A 21021-nucleotide genomic window follows, 5' to 3' on the forward strand; every position below is an offset into this window, starting at 1 on the left:
CCCACCCCTCCCGTCCTGGAGGACCGTAGGTGGACGCTCTTGCAGAGCGCCTCTCGCTGGTTGGGGCGGGGGTGGGCGGAGCCAGCACCGTCTGGGCTGTGGAAGCGGAGGGGGTGGGGACACTCTGGCCCGGTTCTCGGTGGTGCGGGAGCGGGCGGGAGCAGCGGCCGCTCTGGTCGGCGGACGTGCTGCCGAGTAGTCCCGGAAGCGAAGCAGCGATGGCGGAGAGTCCGACTGAGGAGGCGGCAACGGCGGGCGCCGGGGCGGCGGGCCCCGGGGCGAGCAGCGTTGCTGGTGTTGTTGGCGTTAGCGGCAGCGGCGGCGGGTTCGGGCCGCCTTTCCTGCCGGATGTGTGGGCGGCGGCGGCGGCAGCGGGCGGGGCCGGGGGCCCGGGGAGCGGCCTGGCTCCGCTGCCCGGGCTCCCGCCCTCAGCCGCTGCCCACGGGGCCGCGCTGCTTAGCCACTGGGACCCCACGCTCAGCTCCGACTGGGACGGCGAGCGCACCGCGCCGCAGTGTCTACTCCGGATCAAGCGGTGAGCCGGGGTTTTTCCTCCCCCAGCCCCGAGCTCCGGGGCTCGACCTTCCCCGCCCCCCACCCTCTCCCACTACAACTCACCCCCCACCCACTGCGCTGCCCTCGCGGCGGCCCACCTCCACGGCCCAAATCTTGCCAGCTCCGGGCGTCGGGATCCAACTCCCTTCTCCCCCCACCCTCAGACCCGCAAGCACCAACCCCCGCCTCGTGTGCCCAGATCCGACCCCGCCCCTCGACAACCTCCCGTGAGCCCTCCGTCTCCATTCCGGCCACCCTCCCCCACACCTCCCACCTCCGGGTGGAAACCCGACCCTTTAGCGCTTCAGTAACGCCCCCTCCCGCCTTCGGCGCCGCCCCTATTTCCCCTTCCCCACCCCAACCTTGCTAGATGCTGCCCGCAGGCCCCACCCATCGGTCCCCTCTCTTCTCCTCTGGAGCCCCGTTCCTAACACAGACGAACTCAGCTTCCTTTGCCATGCCTCTGACTCGAGCCAACCTTTCTTTTTATCCTCCGTTTTTCTCAGATTCCCTCCACACAGTCTTTTCCCAGGTCTAGATCGCTTCCCTCGCCCCAATCTTTCCTTGAACCCCTTTTCCAGTGTCCCAAAGCTGTCCACTCTTACGCCTCTTCCAGAAACACAGGCTACCTCCCCCCAATTCCCCAGTGCCACTCTGGATTGTAATATCCCACTCAGGAGCTTCTTTCTTGTAATTTCCCTCCCCCCACCCCCCACCCTCCCCGGGTCGTCTGTTTTACTTCTATGAAGCAAATATACTCATCAAATATAGGAACAAAGGCCTAAGTCCTTTCTGTGCTTATTTCTTGGGTGACTGATCTTAGATCCTATCATTTAGTAGATGATGTTTTCCAGAAGCACATAGAATAGTACCTATCGCATAAGAAAAGGGCAGTGCTCTTTAGCTATTAATCCTGAAACCTGTTTGACTTCTCCCCATGCCCCCATCACAAGCATCTTCGTTTAGTTCTTATTCCCCATGTTCCACGTCCTTTCAGATGTCTCTGTGTCTACTTTTCAAGGTTGTAATAAAAATTAATATAATGTGTGTAAAGTACCTGGCACAGTGCCTGACACAGGAGGTCAACTGTGGAGGGATTGCCACCTCTAACTGAAACTCAGCACTCAACTCTTTTCCTCCTCCAGCCATTTCAGTCATCCAATTCTGACATACCTTTGAGTTTGGCCAATGCTTTCCTCTGCTTTGTCGCCTATTTGCCCTTTTTATGTCCCTACCCACCCTAGCAAGTCCCTAGGCTTTTCGCCACCTAGAATGTTCTTTAGCCCCTTGCTCTCAACTGATCCATTCCAGTTGGTGAGATATGAGTCAGAAATCTTATCTCCTATGGAAGTCCACATGTCATCTTCCAGATGGGAGATTCTTAGCAATTTCTGAGGATCCCTCCCCAGCCTGAAGAGATCTCTACCCTGAGACACCCCTGGGCAAGAAGGCCACCATGATAGTCTTACTCTCTGCTGGCTGGCTTGCTTCATACAATCCCCTTACCAATAAAGGTCCACTGTATAGTTTATAGAATTAGTTTTTTAGTGGAGTTGATGATGCCTTTCCAGTTACTAAAAAATCTTCATTTAGCATTCAGTCGTAGTACCTGGGAATCATGGAGGTGGGGAGTGAATGAATTGCCATGTGGGAGGAAGTGAGAGTAAGTGGAAAGTGGCTTTTCCAGGCTGACATTTGATGCCATTGGGATCTCTGATTTTTTTCCTCTCTCCCTCCCCTCCCCCTGAGGAAACAATGCCCTTTTGATAATAATTTGCTCTCTGCCTGCCTGACAAGTACTCAGCTGAGATTTCTCAGCCAACAAGACAGTACAAACACTTGCGGTACCAAGCACCACTTTCTCAAACCCTGGCCTCATTGAGGTGATAACAACTGTCCTGCTCAAGGGATTCCCCCTTTCCCCCTCTTCCTCACTCCTTCCCCCACCTCCTCTTGGTGTTATACAGGGATATCATGTCCATTTATAAGGAGCCTCCTCCAGGAATGTTCGTTGTACCTGATACTGTTGACATGACTAAGGTATGTAACTTGATGGGGGTTTGGGGGGTTTTGGGAAATTGGGGGCCATAAGGTTGCAAAAGCCTAAAAGAGATTATTCAGCTCACCTCTCCGATTACACAGATGAAGAAATCAAGACCCCAGGAGAGTAAGTGGCTTGTCCAAGGTCACATAGTGAGGTGGAGCAGCACTTTGAAGAGGTGTCTGTTATTAGTGTACCCCATAGGTACTGATTGGCTTGGAAAATCCCAGTTCATGTCTGTTGTCGCAGCTTGACTATTTATAGGGCATTCTTTCACTCTCAAAAATGCTCCTGTTTGGATAATAAATTATATGGTCACCCTATCCATTGTACTACCCAGCTCTTCCCCCATCCCGTTACTCTTGACATTAACTATGCTATGGTACTATAAATCAGATGTAGGGAAGGTTGGGAATAGGGCAAGCTTGACTGAAGTGTTTGTGGTTAAAGGACTTTGCTCAGGATCCTGTCCTTACTGGTTGCGTTTAAGTATCCCTTCCACCCCAAAGACTATACCTCTCTTGTCCTCCTCTCAGAGAGAAAGCTTAATACATAATGTCACATTTCTCTGGCATAGATACCTAGGTTTCTCTGTCACTGAATGCTCTACCCACAGAAGTGCAGTTGCACTTAAACTGATGTTAGAAAGAAATCATATTTCCTAAACCTAATGCTGTTTAAGTGAAACACATAGTTTTCTTACAGTAAATTTCTTACAGTAAAAATTCAGATTTTGTATTGTTGGTGTATCTTTTTTTGTTGTTTTGAATAGATTTCCCTTCATATTTTTTTTTTATGTAGTTAGAAATGTTTTTCCTAGGACATCTCGTCCTCAGTCAAGTACCAGTGTTAATAGCCTAGTACCTGGGGTCCCAGAGTTGATGCCATGTTGAGACCAGTTGAGTTTACTATTCCAAATGACTGAGAGCCAGAATATGACGTAGGGTCTTGCCAGGAGGGCAAGGTGGGAACTATAGACTTAGGCATTGGATTGCCACGTCCCTTTCCTTTTGCTGTTCAAATGCTTAGCAGACCTAAATGCCTAGGAGCCTTTGTGGAAGAAGAAATATAACTGAGTCAGTTCAGGTTTTCCTCCCTTCAGGGGGGGAAATCCTGTTGAAGAATTATGGCTTGAGGGGGAAGAGAATTTAGTGTCGTTTTCAGGACGGCTGATTTTTTTTTTTTTTTTTTTTTTAAACAGTATTGGGGAAAGTTCTGGGACTGGTCTAATGGCTCTGAGTGGACCCTGAGTCTTCCCCATTTTCAGTCATGATGTGCTGCCTGAGCCACATCCTCCACAATAGGTTTGATCCTCTGCAGAGGAAGCAAGCAGATACCCTAGGCATCCATCACACCCCCTAACCCTGCTGTGTTACTGGCACTGGGCTGTGGCCTCCAATCCCTTTCTTCGTCTCCTTTCATCATACTTTCCCTTCGTGCCACATAAATGTAGGGTGGGGTTGCATCATATGCATGTTTGGCCTGGGCAAATCCAAACATATATTCAGTCAAAATCTGTGTCGATTTCTCAAAATTAAAAACGCTAGGGTTATATTTTATAGATAAGCATATTATATTTTTCCACAGTGGTGTTTTATCCATTATATGTAACACTGATCAGGGAGGTCTGCACAAAAAAAAAAAATGCTTTAAGAGAGTTTTAGGGGATACTCAAGAGTGATTTTGACTAGATTCAGTTTTCGCCTTGGGCTCTAACTTTAGAAGTAACCCCTGAGTAAGATGTCATTCCACTGTAATGAGATTTCTTAAAATTCCAAACCTACGTATTAGTATGAGTGAATACAGGATGTTCCTTCTGCATGGTGAGGATATAGAACATGTGTACCAGATTATGGACTCTGCTTCTGGTGTGGGTAGTAGGTGGAGGGTAGCCAGGAGGGCTTGGGGTGGGTCATCACCTCACAATTTTGAGATGGGGTTTTATTTTGCAGATTCATGCATTGATCACAGGCCCATTTGACACTCCTTATGAAGGGGGTTTCTTCCTGTTCGTGTTTCGGTGTCCGCCCGACTATCCCATCCACCCACCTCGGGTCAAACTGATGACAACGGGCAATAACACAGTGAGGTTTAACCCCAACTTCTACCGCAATGGGAAAGTCTGCTTGAGTATTCTAGGGTAAGAGGAGACTTTTAAGTAGCCAAGTCGGTTGTTAGCAGATAATTACTCTAGGTCAGCCTTTATCAACCGGAGTCCCTCATCTGAACTACAGAACACAGAAAATGATTGAGTGACTCTTCTCAAATCTCCTCAGGATGGTATGTGACTAGTATCATTCTAGATGCAGAGGGGAGAAGTTAATTTATTACAGTGGTAACCTTTGAGAAGTGGTTCTCTTAAGAGTGTGGCCCTGAGCATCTGGGAACTTGTAGCCGAGCAGTTTCTGGGGCCCTATCTTAGACCTACAAAAGAAACTCTGGGGTTGGGGCCAAAAATCTGGTTTTTTTGGTTGTTGTTTTTTGTTTGTTTTGAGACGGAGTCTTGCTCTGTCGCCAGGCTGGAGTGCAGTGGCACGATCTTGGCTCACTGCAACCTCTGCCTCCCAGATTCAAGCGATTCTCCTGCCTCAGTCTCCCAAGTAGCTGGGGCTACAGGCGTGCACCACCACACCTAGCTAATTTTTGTATCTTTAGTAGAGACGGAGTTTCACCATGTTGGCCAGGATGGTCTCGATCTCTTGACCTCATCATCCACTCACCTTGGCCTCCCAAAGTGCTGGGATTAGAGGCATGAGCCACCGTGCCCGGCCCAGAAATCTGTTTTTTACAAGCTCTCCAGATGATTGTGGTGCATACTGCAGTTTCAGAACCACTCTCTTGGGGTGTTAAGGCCTTATTTTCTCTCCTGAACAGGTTGAGAAAGGCTGCAGGTCTGTGCCATTCAAGATTTGGGGTGTCTTAATTTGAGTCTTGCAATAAGTTGCTTTGAAGGCAGTGGCGGTGGTGGTGGTGGTGATCATTATGGTTTCATTTTTGTTTTGTTTTGTTTGTTTTTGTTTTGTTTTGTTTTGTTGGTAGAGGCAGGTATCTCACTATGTTGCCCAGGCTGGTCTTGAATTCTTGTCCTCAAGCAGTCGTCCTCTTGTGGCTCCCAAAGCACTGGGGTTACAGGCATGAGCCTCCATGCCTGACCTGATTATAATATTTTAATAATGACAAATGTCTGAGATTGGAAATCACATTAGATATGAAATGAGTTTCTAGTGCATCTTCTTTCTGGATGCTTCTGAGGTTTTGCTTCATAGAGTTCCCATTTTAGTTGCCTTTGGGGGCTGAAAACTCAGTGTGGACATCTTCTCGCATATTTTGGATTGGTGTTTTTATAGTGGTCTGAACTTCTCTGGGACAGAGAACACGTGCAGGTTGAAGTTGAGAAAGTACCCCCAAACTGATTATTCTGTTTTCCTGCTATCCAACATGTTTCCAGGTTTGTGTGAGGGAAGAGCAGCATTTGAAATAAACTTAGAGACATGATTCATTTTTCTAGGACTTGCTCAGACCCAGGGATATGTTCTGCTGTGATTTTGGCAGTGAAGAAGTCTTTTAAAGGAGGTTGTCCTTAAAGAAGTACTTCATCTCGTTAGGGTACTTAATTAATTGTCTTTGCTGGTAGGCTAAAACCCATGATGATAAAGAAATTTAGTCGTTGCTTCTGTATGAAATTTGTTCGCGAAAGCGTGTCTCAAAGTAGGCTCTCCCTCATTGGGTCAATATAAAACTCTTTTGAGATACCAGCCACAGGACAGTGGGGTAAAAGTAGTAGAAGTGTGTTAGGTAGAAAAGGAGAAGCTGCCCTGAAATTGAAAATTTGCCATAAAGAATCACAGAGTAGAAAATTTCAGCCGGGTGCGGTGGCTCACACCTGTAATCCCAGCACTTTGGGAGGCCGAGGCGGGTGGATCACCTGAGGTCAGGAGTTCGAGACCAGCCTAGCCTGGCGAAACCCCGTCTCTACTAAAAATACAAAAATTAGCCAGGCATGGTGGCGCATGCCTCTAGTCCCAGCTACTCGGGAGGCTGAGGCACAAGAATTGCTTGAACCTGGGAGGCAGAGGTTGCAGTGAGCCAAGATCACGCCACTGCACTCCAGCCTGGGTGACAGAGGGAGACTTTGTCTCAAAAAAGAAAGAAAAGAAAATTCTTAGGTGTTCCTAGTTGACTGTATTAGCTTTATCAGCCATGTTTTTTTTTTCCTCTTTACCTAGAAAACAATGTTGGGCTGACTTACTGACAAAAGAAATTTAACGAGAGTTGACTCTGTTGTAAAGCTTCAGAGAGCAGTAGGTCTAGAGTTCCTGGGGGAGCAAAGCTGAAAAGATAGAGGCACTTAAGAGCAGTCCCCAGTGAAGTTACTATTAGGCATTACTGACTTGGGCTTTCCTCAAGTACAGCAGGGAAACAGAAGCAGGCAGTCAACTTGAACAAGCCAGTCCTGGCTTAGGTTGTGTTCGGCTTCCAGCTCCGGTGCCATCTCTTCAATTAATTGAGCTAAAAATAAATGTCATTAACATCCAAGCTGTCCCCTCCCCCTAATACTTGGTTGGGTTTATGAAAGAGAGGAGCAATTTTGGTATTTGACGTTTTCCATATATTATTTTCAGACCTTCCACTGTCTGGAAGCACCCCTTATTCTCTTCCTGTTCTTTGGAAGAGTTGTGTAGTCTTAAGAGAATTTGACACTCCTTGGGGGTTTGATACAGAACTGGATCCCCAATAGCCCCACCACATGGCCTCTAACCAGATGGCTTCAGTCACCTGTGTCCCTTTATGCTCAACTTCCCTCTCCCCTCACTAACTCCATCACCACCCATAAACAAGCTCTTTGAGATCCACGGAGATTAACATTTAGACAACTTTGGAGCTAATTGCTTACCTAATTTCTTTTGTTTTGATTGTCGTAACTGTTTCTAGTACAAAGAAAATCCCTTCAAAGTTACATAGCTTGCTATTACCTGTTCTTTTGCCCCCCCCCCTTGATTTGAGGATTAGGCAATTGACTGATTTCTGGTGAAATCAGAACATGAGCATGAGACAGAGGCTGGGAAATTCCAGAGTATTAATAGTGAAAGAGAAACTTATGGTGAGTCACTTATGGTGGTGTTGCCGGGCCCCAGGGTACTTGTTCCCTATTCTTTCTCTGCCTCACCCTCCATTCCTTCTGATGTGTTTACAGTACATGGACTGGACCTGCCTGGAGCCCAGCCCAGAGCATCTCCTCAGTGCTCATCTCTATCCAGTCCCTGATGACTGAGAACCCCTATCACAATGAGCCCGGCTTTGAACAGGTAAGGCCAGATGGGCCTGGCTCTGGGGTGTAGACTATTGTTTTTGTTTGTTTGGTTGGTTGGTTTTTTTGTTTTTTTTTTTTTTTGAGACAGAGTCTTCCTCTGTCACCTAGGCTGTAGTGCAGTGGTGCAATCTCAGCTTACTGCAACCTCCGCCTCCCGGGTTCAAGCCATTCTGTCTCAGCCTCCCAAGTAGCTGGGACTACAGGCGTGTACCACCATGCCTGGCTAATTTTTATATTTTTAGTAGAGATGGGGTTTCACCATATTGGCCAGGCTGGTCTCCAGCTCCTGACCTGGTGATCCGCCTGCCTCGGCCTCCCAGAGTGCTGGGATTACAGGCGTGAGCCACCGCGCCCAGCCAGAATAGTGTTTTAAGAGATCTGCTTGGGAGGTTTTTTTTGTTTTGTTTTGTTTTGTTTTGTTTTGGACCTAGCACAGCCCCATGTACTACATTTGTTGGTATAGGGAAAAAAAGGGAATTGACACGTGTTTTTTAGTAATGAAATTTTTTGCCGACCACTGTGGCTCACACCTGTAATCCCAGCACTTTGGGAGGCTGAGGCAGGCAGGTGGATCACCTGAGGTCAGGAGTTTGAGACCAGCCTGGCCAACCTGGTAAAACCCCATCTCTACTAAAAATTAACTGGTCAGAAGTTTGAGACCAGCCTGGCCAACATGGTGAAAACCTGTCTCTACTAAAAATAAAAGAAATTAGCTGGGTGTGATCACTTGAACCCTGGAGGCAGAGGTTGCAGTGAGCTGAGATCACGCCATTACACTCCAGCCTGGGTAAGGAGCGAAACTCGGTCCCCCCACCCCCAAAAAAATAATAATGGCCAGGCGCGGTGGCTCACACCTGTAATCCCAGCACTTTGGGAGGCCGAGGCGGGCAGATCACAAGGTCAGAAGTTTGAGATCATCCTGGCTAACACAGTGAAACCCAGTCTGTACTAAAAATACAAAAAATTAGCTGGGTGTGGTGGCAGGCGCCTGTAGTCCCAGCTACTCGGAGGCTGAGACAGGAGAATGGCGTGAACCCAGGTGGTGGAGCTTACAGTGAGCCAAGATTGGGCCATTGCATTCCAGCCTGAGCGACAGAGCGAGACACCGTCTTAAAAAAATAATAATAATAATGAATTTTTTTATTTGTGAGAGTTACAATAAGTATGTGACTTGGATTCCTTTATAGCATGGAAGTCAATGGACTCCTTTGGAAATTAATTCTGACCTGCTTTGGGGGTTGTGGCATCCAGTGGGTTCTATGTGCCTATATTCTCAGCATCCCCTAAAGTTGCTCTGTAGGGACTACTACCCAGCCAGCTGTTCTTCTGGGGTTATGAAGGACTGTTACCTGCAGAGTCAAAGGAGCTAGTCATTAGGAGTCCCGGGCAAGACTTTTTGAGTTAACAGTGCCAACGAGAAGGTGGAGAAAACTCACATTTTTCCAAGAGCATGCTCTGTGCTGGACACTACCAAGTTTTTATATATAATTTCTTGTTTAACCTTCATACTATGTGAGGTTAAATATGGTTATTCCCATTTTCAAGTGAAATAATGTTGCCTCAGAGAGGTTAATTAACTTTCACAAAGACACACAGATCAGGATAGGACCCCAGACTTACATTGGAGCCCAACTTCTCCCACTCTTCCGATGTGCCTTCCTGAATTACTCATGAGCACGGGAAAAAGTTCCAGTGATAGTCCCAAAAGAAAATGATTCCGGATAGGTGATTAGAACAGCTTAATTAATTTATTTATTTTTTGAGACAGAGTTTCACTATTGTTACCCAGGCTGGAGTGTAATGGCACAATCTCGGCTCACAGCAACTTCTGCCTCCCAGGTTCAAGTGATTCCTCTGCCTCAGCCTCCCGAGTAGCTGGGATTACGGGCACGCACCACCACACCTGGCTAATTTTTTGTATTTTTAGTAGAGAAGGGGTTTCACCATCTTGGCCAGGCTGGTTTCGAATTTCGGACCTCAGGTGATCCACTCGCCTTGGCCTCTGAAAGTGCTGGGATTACAGGCGTGAGCAACCATGCCTGGCCAACTTAATTTATTTTTAAACTATTACATATGACACCAACTTTGATTCTTCCTCTATAGACCTGAACAAAGGATAATAAAATGCCTTTCAAAAATGAAAAATAAAAATTTTTTTTGAGACAGAGTCTCACTCCATCACTCAGGCTGGAGTGCAGTGGTGTGATCTCGGCTCACTGCAGCCTCCACCTCCCAGGGTCAAGCAATTCTCCTGCCTCAGCCTCCTGAGTAGCTGGGACTACAGGCGCACACCACCACGCCTGGCTAATTTTTGTATTTTTAGTAGAGGTGGCGTTTCACCATGTTGGCCAGCTGGTCTTGAACTCCTGACCTTAGGTGATCAGCCTGCCTCGGCCTCACAAAGTGGTAGGATCACAGGTGTGAGCCACAGAGTCTGGCCTCAAAAGTTAACAAAAATTATTTCCTAACCCATCCTTTCTCCAAACATTCATTTCAGGAGGAGAGTCTAATTGAAATAGACCTCATTAGCAGGAGCTGATTTTTAGGTCTTGTCTTTTTTTTTTTTTTTTTGGAGGCAGACTCTCACTCTGTCACCCAGGCTGGAGTGCAGTGGTGTGATCTCAGCTCACTGCAACCTCTGCCTCCCAGGTTCAAGCGATTCTAGTACCTCAGCCTCCCAAGTAGCTGGGATTACAGGCACACACCATGACGCCTGGCTAATTTTTGTATTTGTAGTAGAGATGGGGTTTCGCCCTGTTGGCCAGGCTTGTCTTGAACATATGGCCTCAAGCAGTCTGCCCACGTCCGCCTCCCAAAGTGCTGGGATTACAGGTGTGAGCCACCATGCCCAGCCTTGTGTTTTTTATTTTTTACTTCCAGAATGACTTGCAGTTGTTTTTATTTTATTTATTTATTTATTTTTTATTTATTTACAGGCACACACCACCACACCCAGCTGATTTTTGTATTTTTAGTAGAGACGGGGTTTCACTGTTTTGGCCAGGCTGGTCTCCACCTCCTGACCTTATGATCCACCTGCCTCGGCCTCCCAAAGTGCTGGGATTACAGGTGTGAGCTACCGCGCCTGGCCCATCAGCTATTTTTATCAGAGGCCAGGGCTCTAATTGACTGGGGTTGGTGGTAAGAGGAGAAGAGCACAGGAAAAATTAAAGGAGTAGAGGCCATACTCCCCTTCTATTCACACCATAGTGAGACCCTGTTTATATTGGCTTTCTAGACCAAAGTTGAAGTTTATCTTTCGAAGCTTCTGATAGATTTATTTCTAATTGTACTATTTCTTTGAGACAAAGTCTTGCTTTGTCACCCAGGCTGGAGTACAGTGGCACAGTCATAGCTCACTGAAGCCTCGAACTCCTGGGCTTTAGCCATCCTCTCACCTCAGCCTTCTGAGTAGCTGGGACGACAGGTGCACACCACCAATGCCCAGCTAATTTTTGTATTTTTTATAGAGACGGGATCTCACCATGTTGCCAATGCTGATCCTGAACTCCTGAACTCAAGCGATCCGCCTGCATCGGCTTCCCAAAGTGTCGGGAGTACAGGCATGAGCCATCGGGCCCAGCCCTACTTCTGATTTATAATAATTGGTTCAATGATGGTGGGACCCTAGAGACATATAACAGGTAAAGGGGTTAACCAGGAAGCATCCTTTACTTGTTGATGCCTGAAGGTTTTCTACACTGAGACTCTTCACTTCATTTATACCTTTTTGTCCCACCATCATTCTTTCTGTCTTTTTTTTTTCTCCCCCTAAAGAGACAAGTGTTTCCCAGCCTGGGCAACGTAGTGAGACCTTGTCTCTACCGAAAAACTTTTTTAAAAAAATAGCTGGGCATTGTGACATGTGCCTTGAGTCCCAGCTACTTGGGAAGCTGAGGAGAGGAGCATCGCTTGAGCCCAGGAATTCGAGGCAGCAGTAACCTCTGATCATGCCACCACTCTCCAGCCTGGATGACAAAGCAAGAGCCTGCCTCTTAAAAATTTTTTAAATAAAAGACAAGCCGGGTGCGGTGGCTCATGCCTGTAATCCCAGCGCTTTGGAAGGCTGAGGCAGGTGGATTACCTGAGGTCAGGCGTTCAGGACCAGCCTGGCCAACGTGGTGAAACACTGTCTCTACTAAAAAATACAAAAACTAGCTGGGCGTGGTGACAGGCGCCTGTAATCCCAGCTACTTGGAAGGCTTGAGACAGGAGAATCGCTTGAACCCAGGAGGCGGAGGTTGCAGTGAGCTGAGATCGTGCCATTGCACTCCAGCCTGGGTGACGAGCAAAACTCAAAAAAACAAATAAATAATAAAAAATAAAAACTCGGGGCCCACCATGGTGACGAATGTCTTTAGTCCCAGCTACTCAGGAGGCTGAGGTGGGAGGATCGCTAGAGCCCAGGAGTTTGAGGATTGCTGGAGCCCAGGAAGTCAAGGCTGCAGTTAGCTGTGATGGTGCCGCTGCACTCCAGCCTGGGCAACAGCAAAGACCCTGTCTCCAAAAAGAAAAACTGAAAAAACAGGAACTTACTTTGTTGTCTAGGCTGAACCCAAACTCTTGGGCTCAAGTGATCCTCACACCTTGGCTTCCTGAGTAGCTGGGACTATTAGTTTATGCCACCAGGCTTAGCAACCCTACCATCATTCTTATGTTTGGTTATTTCCCACATAATCTTTACTTGATAGACCTTTCACTTCACATTCAGGAAAATATGATGGATCTAGTTTGCTGGTGATAGGCCAAATGACCTGTAACCTGTTGGTATATTTGGAGGGTGGTGGAGGTGAATGGTGTCAAAAATAAAGGTGTGGTTGCTCTTCATGGATCTGCCATACAGTGGGAAAGGTATCTTTTTAGTTTGTGTGACTGGCTGACATACCCCATACTAATCTTGAAGTCCCTTCCCATTGGTTTTCTTTTTGCTTAATTTTTGGAATACTCTGGCATCTGTTACATTATAGGAGAGACATCCAGGAGACAGCAAAAACTATAATGAATGTATCCGGCACGAGACCATCAGAGTTGCAGTCTGTGACATGATGGAAGGAAAGTGTCCCTGTCCTGAACCCCTACGGTATGTGTCAAGCGGGCTTGCTTGGTATTCCTTTCGGGCATTTGGGTAGTTGGCATCTTTGGGGCAGAGTACAGTGTTGGGTACCAGAGGGAGATAGAGAAGAAGGAAAGATGTGGTTCCTGCTTTTAAAGAACAAGTGGCTGAGGGTTACCCAAGAGGAAGTTCAGAGAGCTACTCTGTTGTTGGAGAATGCCATGCCTTTGGGAGAGGCAGTCCACACGCTCAGGGAGCTTCCAGTTTGATGAAGGCTTGGACGTACTTTTTTCCAGCCAAATGTGTAGAGTACTTCATAATAAGACTCATTTCTTAGTGCTGAAGTTATTTTTAAGTGCCAAAACTGGATGAGCAACGTCAGGGTTAAATAAATAAACTTCTAGGAGAATTTTGAGTAAGGTTTGGGATTGGGGATGGCTGATGAAAAGCAATGGAGGTGGAGCAAGTCATGAGTTGAAGTTGGGATTCAAATGGTGAGTATTGGCTTGGTGGTGGCTCACGCCTGTAATCCTAGTACTTTGGGAGGCTGAGGCGGGAGGATCACTTGAGCCCAAGAGTTCGAGACCAGCCTGGGCAACACAGGGAGACCCCATCTCTACAGAAATTTTAAAATTAGCCAGGTGTGATGGCACGCTCCTGCAGTCACAGCCAGTCAGGAGGCTGAGGTGGGAGGATTGCTTGAGCCTAAGAGGTTGAGGCTGCAGTGAGCTGTGATGACACCACTGCACTCCAGCCTGGGTAACACAGCAAGACCCTGCCTCAAAAAGAAAACTAATGGTGAATATTACAGTCACACTCATAATTCCTGATGTGTAGGGGAAGTCAACCACGGGCAGTTAGGTGTTCCTTTTTCCAAAAGGAACTGTAATCCCAGCACTTTGGGAGGCCAAGGAAGGCAGATCACCAGGTCAGGAGTTCAAGACCAGCCTGACCAACATGGTGAAACCACATCTTTACTAAAAATACAAAAATTACCCGGGTGTGGTGGCACGCACCTGTAATCCCAGCTACTCAGGAGGCTGAAGCATGAGAATCACTTGAACCTGGGAGGCGGAGGTTGCAGTGAGCCGAGATTGCGCCACTGTATTCCAGCCTGGGCAAAAGAGCGAGACTCAGTCTCAAAAAAATAAAAAATAAATAAAATGAAAAGATCTTTGTAGAAAACAGATCTGGACTTGGGAATGGTAGGTATTTAATTTGGCATTAAGGTTAGGTAAAGAGGCCAGGTGTGGTGGCTTGCGCCTGTAGTCCTAGCACTTTGGGAGGCCGACGCAGGCAGATCAGTTGAGGTCAGGAGTTCCTGACCAGCCTGGGCAACATGGTGAAACCCCGTCTCTACTAAAAACAAAAATTAGCCAGGCGTGGTGGCATATGCCTGTAATCCCAGCTTCTCAGGAGGCTGAGGCAGGAGAATTGCATGAATCCGGGAGGCAGAGGTCACAGTGAGCTGAGGTTGCACCACTGCACTCCAACATGGGCTACAGAGCAAGACTCCATCTGAAAAAAAAAAAAGGTTAGGTAAGGAAGGGGTGACCTGTACCCCTGGGTTTCTCACTTACACTTTTCTGCTTGTTTTCCAGAGGGGTGATGGAGAAGTCCTTTCTGGAGTATTACGACTTCTACGAGGTGGCCTGCAAAGATCGCCTGCACCTTCAAGGCCAAACTATGCAGGTAATACAACCCCTGCTGCTAATTGCAGAAGCCCTACAGCTGGCCATGTAAAAGCCCCCCACAAGCGTGGCATCGACAGCTGTCATAGAATGACACAGCTAAGCCTGGGTTCAGTGGCTCATGCCTGTAATCCCAGCACTTTGGGAGGCCAAGGCGGGCGGATCACGAGGTCGGGAAATTGAGACCATCCTGGCTAACACGGTGAAACCCCGTCTCTACTAAAAATACAAAAAATTAGCCGGGCATCGTGGCGTGTACCTGTAGTCCCATCTACTCAGGAGGCTGAGGCAGGAGAATCACTTGAACCCAGGAGGCAGAAGTTGCAGTGAGCTGAAATTGTGCCACTGCACTTCAGCCTGGACAACAGACCGAGACTCTGTCTCAAAAAAAAAAAAAAAAAAAAAAAAAAATAGCCAGGCGCGGTGGCTCACGCCTGTAATCCCAGCACTTTGGGAGGCTGAGGTGGGCAGATCACCTGAGGTCGGGAGTGTGAGACCAGCCTGGCCAACATGATGAAACCCCGCCTCTACTAAAAACACAAAAAATTGGCTCAGCGTGGTAGCATGTGCCTATAATCCCGGCTACTTGGGAGGCTGAGGCAGGAGAATCGCTTGAACCTGGGAGGCCGAGGTTGCAGTGAGCTGAGTGCACTCCAGTCTGGGCAACAAGAGCGAAACTCGGTCTCAAAAAAAAAAGCTAAAAGCAACCTATATCATTTGAGGGACTGAGAGCCAGAGAGGAGACTGATTTTCATGAAGTCATAGGGAACTCTTTACTTTCCTTGGTCAGTAGCCTCTTTTTTTTTTTTTTTTAAAGGCAGGTTCTCACTCTGTTACTCAGGCTGGAGTGCAGTAGCTGGGTCACAGCTCACTGCAACTCCAAACTCCCAAGCTCAAGCAGTCCTCCCACCTCAGCCTCCCAAGCTGGGACTTACAGGTGTGCACCACCACAGCTAGTTTTTGTTTTGTTTTGTTTTTTGAGACAGAGTCTTGCTCTGTTGCTCAGGCTAGAGCAATCTCAGCTCATTGCAACTTCAGCCTCCCAAGTAGTTGGGATTACAGGCATACGCCATCATGCCCAGCTAATTTTTTGTGTTTTTAGTAGAGACGGGGTTTCACCATGTTGGCCAGGCTAGTCTTGAACTCCTCACCTCAAGTGATCTACCTCCCTCGGCCTCCCAAAGTGCTGGGATTACAGGCCCTGTTTTGTTTTGTTTGGTTGTAGAGATAGGGTCCCACTCTATTGCCCAGGCAACTCCTGGGTTCAGGTGATCCTCCTCCCTTAGCCTCCAAACTGGGAGGCTGAGATTATTACAGGTGTGAGCCACTGCACCCAGCCCATAGTGTTTTGAAGCTAAGATGCGTTCAGCCCTCCCAGAATCTTAGGGATTATATGAATCCTCTATTTAAATTCTGTTCCCAGCCCTGAGGGTTGATCACAGAAACAGTAGCTTAGAGAAACAACATACCTGTAGTGTCACATGTTGAAAGATTCCTATTCAAAGATGATAACCATTGTTCATTCTTTGCCTCTACTGGGAAAAGTGTGCTTTTGCTTCCCATAAGAACTCAAAATTTAGGCTTGTTTTAAGGAAGGAGGCTATCATTGACCAAATTGTAGATAGACAGCCAGGTGCGGTGGCTTATGCCTATAATCCCAGCACTTTGGGAGGCAGAGGTGGACAGATCTCTTGAGGCCAGGAGTCCAAGACCAGCCTGGCCAACATGGTGAAACCCCATCTCTACTAAAAATACAAAAATTAGCCAGGCATGATGGCTCATGCCTGTAATCTCAGCTACTTGGGAAGCTGAGGGATGAGAAATGCTTGAACCTGGGAGGCAGAGGTTGCAGTAAACTGAGATTGCACTACTGCACTCCAGCCTGGGCAACAGAACAAGATTCTGTCTCAAAAAAAAAAAAAAAAAAAAGACAAAAATTATAGATAGACTAATGTAAACCACCTGGTTGGTAAGAGAATGAGAATTCTCCTGTCCTGGAGAATCAGTTCTTGGGTGTTTGGATCATCTTACTGGTGGTCTTGCTTAGAAATGGGATACTCGTGGGGCCTGGCGCAATGGCTCATGCCTGTGATCCCAGTACTTTGGTAGGCCGAGGCAGACAGATCACTTGAGATCAGGAGTTTGAGACCAGCCTGGCCAACACAGTGAAATCCTGCCTCTACTAAAAATACAAAAATTAGCCAGATGTAGTGGTGCGTGCCTGTGGTCCCAGCTACTTAGGAGACTGAGGCACAAGAATTTTGCTTGAACCTGGGAGGTGAAGGTTGCAGTGACCCGAGATCACGTTGCACTCTAGCCTTGGCGATGGAGCCAGACTCCACCTCAAAAAAAAAAAAAAAAAGAAAGAAAAAGAAATGGGAGACTTGGATAATTGACTAAGATTTCTTAAGGCTCTCTCCAGCTCTCGTACTATGTCTGTTCACCCACCCCAACACCAACAGCGTAGGAGGAGATGACTTATGCCCTCCAGTGCTACTTATAAATGGTAGTTTTCCCTTCCTTCTTTCAAGGACTTTCCACCCACCTGTCTCATTTAAGCACAAAGGGCAGGGCTGGCTCAGGACTAAGTTGTCTCCTAAACCCTTTTTGAGAGTATATCAATGACATATGTCCTAGTTTGTTCCCCATCAGGAATTCTAATTGCTGGTATCCAACAGCATTAGCAATATCAGTGTGTAAAGGAAAAACAACTGGTGATGAGGGATGGGAGGGAGTACAGCATCTGGGCAGGAGGAGCATTAGAGGAGCTGGAGCCACGGATGAAAGAAACAAGATTTGCAGAATTGACAGCTCCATAGTAGTAAATGTGGAGCTCAGTCTTGAGGGAGTTAACTCTCATGAAGGAGAAGTGCAGGCTGTAGTCCCAGTGACAGTGACTAGCATCCACTGCCATCCCACTCAGGATGAGGGTAATGTGTGGGCAGAAGTATGGAAGGAGTTTTTGTGAGAGAAGCAAACAATGTGAGAGGGAAAGTTGTGTACCTTTTGGGGGCTGTTGCACTGCTTTGCTGCCTAAGTCCCTATATAGTATTTTAAACTCTTTTTTATACCATCCACTCAACTAGTTGTTTTTGAGACTTTGGGGACAATTAAACCTTTCTGTACAACGTTTAGGGATCTTTGATCTAGAACAAGAAGGACTAAGATCGAGGCTGGGTGGCCCTGGAGCAATGCCCAGAAACCTGGATGGGAATGGAGTGACGAGTCCCTGGGGAGGAGTACAGGTGCTTATCTGAAAGTCAGAACTCTTGAATTCTAGACCTGCTTCTGACCTTAGAAAAGCAGATTACCATTTTTGAGTACAGAGAATAAAGAGCAACTTTTACCTTCTGTGGTTTTTATGAGGTTAATTAAAAACATAGGCATACTTAACAATTATAATTCTGGTCTTGAATTTCTCATTCCTATCTATCTCACCCTTATTGTCCCTTCTTCCGGATATTGGTTTGCTTTTGAGGAATACCAATACATTTTCACTCTAGCCCAAGCTACACCTATTTGGGGCGGTAAGAGTGTCTTTTTTTTTTTTTTTTTTGAGACCAAGTTTTACTCTTGTTGCCCAGGCTGGAGTGTAATGGTGCGATCTCGATCTCAGCTGACTGCAACCTCCGCCTCCCGGGTTCAAGTGATTCTCCTGCCTCAGCCTCCCGAGTAGCTGGGATTACAGGCATGCGCCACGACACCCGGCTAATTTTGCATTTTTAGTAGAGACAGGGTTTCACCATGTTGGTCAGGCTGGTCTCAAACTCCCAACCTCAGGTGATCCGCCCGCCTCGGCCGCCCAAAGTGCTGGGATTACAGGTGTGAGCCACCGCGCCTGGCCCAGGTGTCATATTTTTAAGCAAAGGTTATTTTGCCTGCTGTTTGGGACTGCCTGTGCTGTTAGGCCTTCCTGCTCCCATGGCTCAGAAGTTGAGCTTTCATTTCACATGGGCCCGAAGTTGCTTTCTCTAGGATCAGCCACCCAGACTTGAATCTTCCATCCCCTTGTCTCCTTTCCCCACAGGACCCTTTTGGAGAGAAGCGGGGCCACTTTGACTACCAGTCCCTCTTGATGCGCCTGGGACTGATACGTCAGAAAGTGCTGGAGAGGCTCCATAATGAGAATGCAGAAATGGACTCTGATAGCAGTTCATCTGGGACAGAGACAGACCTTCATGGGAGCCTGAGGGTTTAGACCCTGCTCCCATCTCCCCTTCCCCCACTCAAGAGTCCCAGCAGAATCCCTTCCCCCCACCCCAGGGATGGAGAGGCACTGTGTATCTCCCTCCAGACTCGAAGTCATCCTGCAAGATGGCAAGAACCAAGCAAGCTCCGATCCCAGGGTGTGGGAGTGGGGGCCTGTTCCCGGTCTGACCTCCTTGGCACTGGAGCATCTGGGGCTTCGTTCATCCATTCATCCCGTATCAGGGGCCAAGGTACCTTTACAGGAGCACCTAGAGCGAGGGCCTTTGGCAAAAACAAAACAACCAACACACCTCTCCACAGGGCCAGCTCCTTAGGGATAAGTGGAAGATGGAAATTGCAATTCCAAGAGGGAGTGTGCCCAAATGATTTATGGGGATACCTGGAAGGGAGCTTGGGGTGGGGGCTGTCTGTGACACTTAAGCAGTCTGGGTGGTTGTCTATTTGTCTGTCTTCAGTCTTGAAGCAGGGCTTCCCAATGCCCTTTTCCTCCCTGCCTTCCTTCCCCCATTATTTCCCACAGGCCAGCATAATTTTGTTTTTCCTAATTTATAGTCACTGTTCTAGACAGACCAAAGAGAAGGAACAGTGGTGGAGTCTAGGCTGCTGATCAGTAAGCTTTACCTAGCACCTGAGCACCTTTCTCCCCTCCCCTCTTTCCTCACCCTTTTCTAGATGTAAGACAGAAAGTAAATGTGACTGGGACTTAACCAAGGTCTTGGTAAAGCCTGCATGGCACCGTAAGAAGCTGAAAATACTGTTTGTTCCCGCAATCACTGATTTGAAAAGTTCCCAACACAGGCAGCTGCTGTGTATATGGGATTAGAGCCACTACATAGAATAGTCTCTTACAGATTTTCATAAATACTAGTCACAATAAGGGTATTTTTCTTGGGGGTGGAGTAAGGGGGAGACTGATGCTAGTCCTTGTTGTATTTTGTTGGGCTGTCCTTGTGTATTTTCACCCCAGCCTGTAGTCCTCCTCACTTCAACCCCAGGGATTTTTGGGGAGCAAGGGTAGCCAATGGCAGAGGGGGTTGGGGCTGGGACTCTGGAGGCTCCTCCCCTTCTTTCTCTTCCTTCCGCCTCCCCCGTGCCCCCAGCTGCTCTTGTCACTGTCTCTGATGGGTATTTGCCTGGCTTTGTTGCTTCTCTATCTGTATTTAGCTGCAGTGATCCTTTAGCTGGTTGGCTCAGAAAAAAAAAAATGTGCTTTAGGTGCCCTGTAATCCTGGGCATCAAGGGAATCCATCCTTCCCCTTTTTGATATGTTCTCCCCGTACTTCCAGATTTATTGTTATGGCTCCCAGTGGGTATTGGCGATTCTTGTGATGCAGGGCCTCAGTCAGTGTCCAGCCATGCATAAGGGAGAGGATAGTGTGTACCTGCCCTGCCCTCTGCTATGAAGGTCTCTGCCTTGTGGATCATGGGACTCCCCTTGGAGGATCTGTGCAAAGGGGGGCTGGGCACAAAGGAGAATGTCCTATTTGGGAGGGCAGGAAGCAAAGGAACTGGACAGGGATTGGTGGGCTTGGGGAACGGAAGTTTATCTTGGATACCCTTGAAGAGGCTGGGTCTCTTCACATGAAGATCGAAAAGGGACCCTGCTTCCAATTTCCCTCTTCCATTCCTCGAGCTACTCCAGGGCTTAGAAGAATGCTCTTGGTCTGTGGGTCCAGTGTTGTCTGTCATCCATTTAAGTGTTCCCACTTTCAAGTGACAATCCTCTCCTTGGCCCTGCCATAGGGCAGAGCATGTCTGGCATAGCAGCCTGACTTTTATGCCCTAATCTTGAGTTGAGGAAATATATGCACAGGAGTCAAAGAGATGTCTTTATATCTGACTGTATATAAATGAAGTTTTTTTGTTTTTTTTGTTTTCCTTTTTGGTGCAATAAAGTTTGTTTTGGCAGAAGGAGGAAGTGCCTGTGGGTGTGGGAGGGCTTGTGTAAAGGACGAATGGGATCATCTTGTCAACCACACCTCACCTAGGCCTGGAACTGTTAGGGAGAAGGAAAGTGCCATGAATTGTCTGGAAACCGAAGACTTGCATAACATGGTGGAAGGGCAGGGCTGGGTGGGGAGAGCAGGACAAGTTTTCTCATTGGAAATGGGGTCCATGCTCTGGCAGTCAGTGACATCTTAGTTTGAGTGGTTTCCAAAGA

The 21021-nt window shown here is 47.6% G+C and overlaps 1 protein-coding gene and 1 long non-coding RNA gene across 2 annotated transcripts in view, besides 5 other annotated features; one reads left to right on the top strand and one right to left on the bottom strand.

The window, feature by feature from the left end:
- Positions 1-698, bottom strand: part of LOC105371814 (uncharacterized) — a 34124-nt gene extending 33426 nt beyond the window's left edge. The window contains exon 1 of the long non-coding RNA NR_135674.1: positions 654-698. This is a non-coding gene — a long non-coding RNA (uncharacterized LOC105371814). The remainder of the gene's footprint in view (positions 1-653) is intronic.
- On the top strand, positions 122-20771 carry UBE2Z (ubiquitin conjugating enzyme E2 Z). The gene is made up of 7 exons (NM_023079.5): positions 122-535; positions 2523-2595; positions 4549-4736; positions 7791-7902; positions 12875-12987; positions 14562-14652; positions 18679-20771. Exons 1-7 carry the CDS (start codon positions 219-221, stop codon positions 18847-18849), a joined length of 1065 nt encoding a protein of 354 aa, NP_075567.2. The 5' UTR covers positions 122-218; the 3' UTR covers positions 18850-20771.
- Positions 261-510: a silencer, noted in NCBI's record as "silent region_8662". NCBI's record gives its function as "represses an Ori minimal core promoter by ATAC-STARR-seq in GM12878 lymphoblastoid cells {active_cell/tissue: GM12878}" and the evidence as "EXISTENCE:reporter gene assay evidence [ECO:0000049][PMID:35858748]".
- Positions 781-910: a silencer, noted in NCBI's record as "silent region_8663". NCBI's record gives its function as "represses an Ori minimal core promoter by ATAC-STARR-seq in GM12878 lymphoblastoid cells {active_cell/tissue: GM12878}" and the evidence as "EXISTENCE:reporter gene assay evidence [ECO:0000049][PMID:35858748]".
- Positions 1784-1833: an enhancer, noted in NCBI's record as "active region_12346". NCBI's record gives its function as "activates an Ori minimal core promoter by ATAC-STARR-seq in GM12878 lymphoblastoid cells {active_cell/tissue: GM12878}" and the evidence as "EXISTENCE:reporter gene assay evidence [ECO:0000049][PMID:35858748]".
- Positions 1854-1903: an enhancer, noted in NCBI's record as "active region_12347". NCBI's record gives its function as "activates an Ori minimal core promoter by ATAC-STARR-seq in GM12878 lymphoblastoid cells {active_cell/tissue: GM12878}" and the evidence as "EXISTENCE:reporter gene assay evidence [ECO:0000049][PMID:35858748]".
- Positions 7538-7877: an enhancer, noted in NCBI's record as "active region_12348". NCBI's record gives its function as "activates an Ori minimal core promoter by ATAC-STARR-seq in GM12878 lymphoblastoid cells {active_cell/tissue: GM12878}" and the evidence as "EXISTENCE:reporter gene assay evidence [ECO:0000049][PMID:35858748]".
- Positions 20772-21021: the final 250 nt, after the last annotated feature.

The sequence above is a fragment of the Homo sapiens genome, chromosome 17 (genome assembly GCF_000001405.40).
Source record: "Homo sapiens chromosome 17, GRCh38.p14 Primary Assembly".
Taxonomy (NCBI): Eukaryota; Metazoa; Chordata; class Mammalia; order Primates; family Hominidae; genus Homo; species Homo sapiens.